Source organism: Homo sapiens, chromosome 2 (assembly GCF_000001405.40).
Source record: "Homo sapiens chromosome 2, GRCh38.p14 Primary Assembly".
In the NCBI taxonomy this organism is placed as follows: Eukaryota; Metazoa; Chordata; class Mammalia; order Primates; family Hominidae; genus Homo; species Homo sapiens.
This window is the reverse complement of record NC_000002.12, coordinates 164,090,958-164,095,790: the sequence shown is the minus strand read 5'-3', so window position 1 is coordinate 164,095,790 and position 4,833 is coordinate 164,090,958.

Here is a 4,833-nt window from a genome sequence, read left to right as displayed (position 1 = left end):
TTATGGTGGCTGGGGGCACGTGGCAGTAACACAGGAGCCTTCCTGGAAGTGCTTCCATTGGCCAAAGCTGAAATAATTTAAGCAATAATATAAATGCCAATAGAATTGGATTGTCGCTGAGTTAATAAAATAAATATTCGTGGACCCATGTTGATATAATTGAGTGACTCAATAAATAAATGGAGTAGAGGAAACAAGTCTTCATACCAGAAGGAAGAATACCAAATAATAAGTATAGAAGAAATGAAGGAAGTAAATAAAAATCACCATGAGAACCTCAAAGTAGTAACTGCTGCAGGCAAGATCCATGGATAAATGCTGAAATTAGTGGTAAAAACTTCAAGGAGAAACTTCGCATAGCAACAAAGCATCTCCCCCAAATGTTTATTTACTGTGGTGGTTTTAACATATGTGTACATATCTGTAGATACTTATCCTCCAAGGGATGAATTTTACTTCCTCTTCACTTGAATGTGGCTGGACTTAGTGAATCAAGTCTAACTAATGGAGTATGGAAAGAGAAAAGTGATAGCTTTACCAAGAAAAAACCTTGCAGTTCACTGTATCCAAGTGATCAAAGCTAACATCACCAGTAATGAGTTATATCAATAGCATGTATCCCTGATACGATGCAATAAAATTACATGGCATATCTGTGATATTCTTTCCAAAAATCCATAATCCTTGTCCATTCATGAGAAAACACCAAACTAATCCAAATTGAAGAACATTCTATACAATATCTGGCCAGAGTCTTAAAAATTGACAATGTCATGAAGTACAAGGAAAGATTAAGAAAATGTTGCAAATTAGAGGAGATTAAAGAGCCAGAACAAGGAAAAGCATCATAGTATCCTAGATTAGGTCTTGAAACAGAGAAAGTACATGAATGGAAAAACTAGTTAACTCCAGAAAAGCTGATGAAATCAAGTCTGTATTTTAGTTAGTAGTAGTATGCCAACGTTAATTTCTCAGTTTTCATAACTGTACCATGGCCATGTAAAAATGTTAACATTGAAGGAAGCTGGGCGAAGGGTACATGGGAACTCTCTGTACTAGCGTTACAACTCCTCTGTATTTCTAAAATGATTTCAAAATATTAAATTTATTTAAGAGGATACACAAACTGATATAAAACTTTAAGACCATTCTAAAGGGGACTGTTTACTTTGTGATAAGTATACATTACAGTGATTGGCTCTCATAAAGGTCAAGCAAGACTTTTTTGGAAAGGGACGCTTGAGAAGAGACCTGAGGAATAAGTCATCGTTTTGGGGCAAACCAACCATGTGAGCAGCCCAGCCAAGATCAGCCAAGCTAACCTGTCCACCGGCAGCTAACTGCAGATTCATGAATGAATGAGGCCAAATGGCCTCCGTCTAGTCTATCTTGAATGAAGTGAACTCTGCAGAACTGTGGTTTAACAGATCTATTGTATACAACTGAGGTTTTTGTTGCTGTTTGTTACCCAGCATTATTGTGGCAATGGTAACTGATACAGATGCCACGTTAGTGCCATTTACCGAGATCTAGTACAAATGGTTCCCATCATGTTACCTGCTGCAGGACCCCTCTTTGATTGTTGAAATGGCAAATACTAATTTTTTAGTCTCCCTTATGTCTAGTGACTGTGCAATGTGATATTAAGGAATTTCTTCTGTGTCTTATGGGACAGAATTTAGAAAAAAAGGAAAACAGAAAAAAATATCTTTCTTCTTTGATCTGGCAGGAGTTTTGACAGTCATCTTGAGAGGTTGATATAGAAGTCTAACTGATGAGGTCTAAATTTTTACTAAATAACACTAAGGATGGTAAAGCACAAAGATTTCAAGTTGCCTTTGATGATGTTTGCCCTCAGAAATATCTATCTCCACAAATCTTATTTTGAGAGAAACAAAGGTCCTTATTGTACATACTACATTTAGTTAGAGGTTCTGTAATAGGCAGCTGGAGGCATTGATTCAGGTCTCTTAACTCCACAAACGGAGGAAATACAAAAGAAGAGGTACAACTAGAAGATATTGGAATCTTATCCCAACAGATACTCACTGGATTATGGAGAAGGGCCCCCTATATTTCTGGTGCCTGGGGCTAATGTTAGGCATAAGAATTGAGTTTTTAAGATGGAAAATTAATTAAAATGTACAAAGTAGAGAGAATAGTGTAATGAATTCTTATAAACCCATCCCTAGCTTTAAGAATTAACAATATATGCCCAATTTTTTTCATCTAAAATGCTTGTTTCCCTGCTCCCATATTATTTTGAAATAAATCCTGGATACCCAAATAAGAATCTTTTAACAGTTTTAGATTTTTAAGGAGGTCTTTTAAAGTATATGACATCAATTAAACAAATATTTGTTGATCATTATTTTAGTTAAGTTTAGAGGTACCTTATCTGATTGATTCAGAGCTCTATGCAGAAATCCCTATTTATCAGATCACCCTATGGCTTGTGGAATAGCCTGTGTCAGGTTTGCCACCTTAGTCCTGTAGTTGACCTCCTCTTCACAAAGAATATTAAATACTGTTTGCCTGAGGGGGAATAGCGTGAGTAAGGCAGATTCAGCAAGAATGGCTGAGAGAGCAGATTGGGTGCTTGATGGGCAAATCCCGTAATTTCACCTTATCTGAATCAAGCGTTTTGTAGATGCTGAGGCTACAAAGATAAATAAAATAAAGTCTCGTTCTAGCAGAGTTTATTTATGTTTATACTGTAATATTGATTCTTGTGTTTAAAAATCAATTAATGCTTTTCTTGATAGTGACCTCTTTTAAGAGAGAGACTCTATCTGCTGTTTCTATAATGTTTCTAGATTTTTTTTTTTTTTTTTTTGAGAACGGGGTCTCGCTCTGTGGCCCAGGCTGGAGTGCAGTGGTGCAATCTCAGCTCACTGCAACCTCCATCTTCTGGGTTCAAGCAATTGCCCTGCCTCAGCCTCCCGAGAAGCTGGGACTATAGGCGCATGCCACCATACCCGGTTAATTTTTTTCTATTTTCAGTAGAGATGGGGTTTCACCATGTTAGCCAGGATGGTCTCAATCTCCTGACCTCGTGATCCACCTGCCTCAGCGTACCAAAGTGCTGGGATTACAGGTGTGAGCCACCATGCCCAGCCTCTAGAAATTTTTGTTTTACGTATATTTATCATACTTAACATCTCATATTTGACATATTCTACAAACACTCATTGGATAAATGATTTTGCCAGTTTTTCTAGATTGTATACTTTGTCTAACTTTTACATGACAAAAATGTACAAAATTAATTTTGCTCATTCCCAATTAATATTATAAGAAGAGCCATGTAATTTTCTTGTTCAGCAATTCTTTATGTCAGGTGTGTATAGCCAACAAGAGGAAACCAACTTCTATAAGTATGGCTTAGATCTGCATGTTTACAATAATTTCAACATTATTACATCCATGTTTATGAAAGTGACACAAAGAAATTACAGTATATGAATTTGAGTGTGGTGATGATTATATTGTATTATTTACATTTCAGTGTCTGGGACCATTTTTTTCCAACGTGGTATTTGCTTAAAGTAATTATACTGACTGAGAACAGTGGCAGATTGAAATTAAATGTTTGGATTAAATATTTTGTCAGCAAACATGCAGCAACTGCTTTACTGCTGCTGCTTCTCTTCTATGCATACTGATTACAAAATGATTAGCTTTTATTTTGGCACAATTTTAAAATACTTAGATAAGTACCGCTTGATATCCAATCTTCTAATTGTTTAAATCACTGGAAAAACCCAGAAGAAAAAATGGCTAAAAGAAATTTAAGACAGTGTTCTAACTTCTAACTGATCCTCATTCAAATAAATAAAAACTTGCCGAGTCTAGAAGTGACTCTAATTTTATGAAGTCTAAGTTTCGGTTAAATATAAAGCCTTCCAGGTGTGCTCAATGCTGGCAGGTGGGGAGGGGGTGGGCGGGGGGAAGTGTCACTTTGTGCTAAAAGAAGAAATATGTGAAACTATTTTTAAGAGGGTGCTTTTGTGGTTTCTTGGATATTGACTGTCTCTTGCAAACTAGTAGTTTAATGTGCTAAATGGAAGCAAATAAGAACATATGGTTTAAATATACCCTGAAATACAAATGTATTTTTAATAACCATCATAGAAGTACTTGACAAGATGTTTTAAGTTTTACTTTCCAGAATCAAACCATTAAAAATCATTTTTAAATAAAGTAAGCCTCTGATATATCTTGTAAATCTCTAGTGTACACTCACTTAGATTTTGGTCAGGAATTGGAAAGTGCAGGGTCATTTTTAAAGCAACTCTAGGGGCTGACTATAACCAAGACATCAACTTTAAAAAATATTTAGTTTTTATTTTTCAATGAATAAATATCCCAAAGAATAACAAATCAGTTGATGAAAAGCATTATGAACATTCTAAAGTAAAATAATAACTTTTCAAAGTGATTGTGTTACATTTACACATTTTTATGAGTTCATTCATATTTACAGTACAATATTAATCTAAAACTCATTTGTCCAGCCAGGCGTGGTGGTTCACGCCTGTAATCCTAGCACTTTGGGAGGCTGAGGCAGAAGGAGAGATTGAGTCCAGGAGTTCAAGACCAACACGGGGAGACACAGTCTCTACAGAAATAAAAATTAAAAAATTAGCTGAGCGTGGTGGTGCCTGCCTGTCATCCCAGCTACTCAGGAGGCTGAGGTGGGAGGATTGCTTGAGCCTAAGACCTTGAGACTGCCATGAACTATGATCATGCCACTGCACTCTAGCTTGGATGACAGAACAAGACCCTGTCTCAAAAAATTTAAAAAAAAAAGGATTTGTGTTACAACTGATA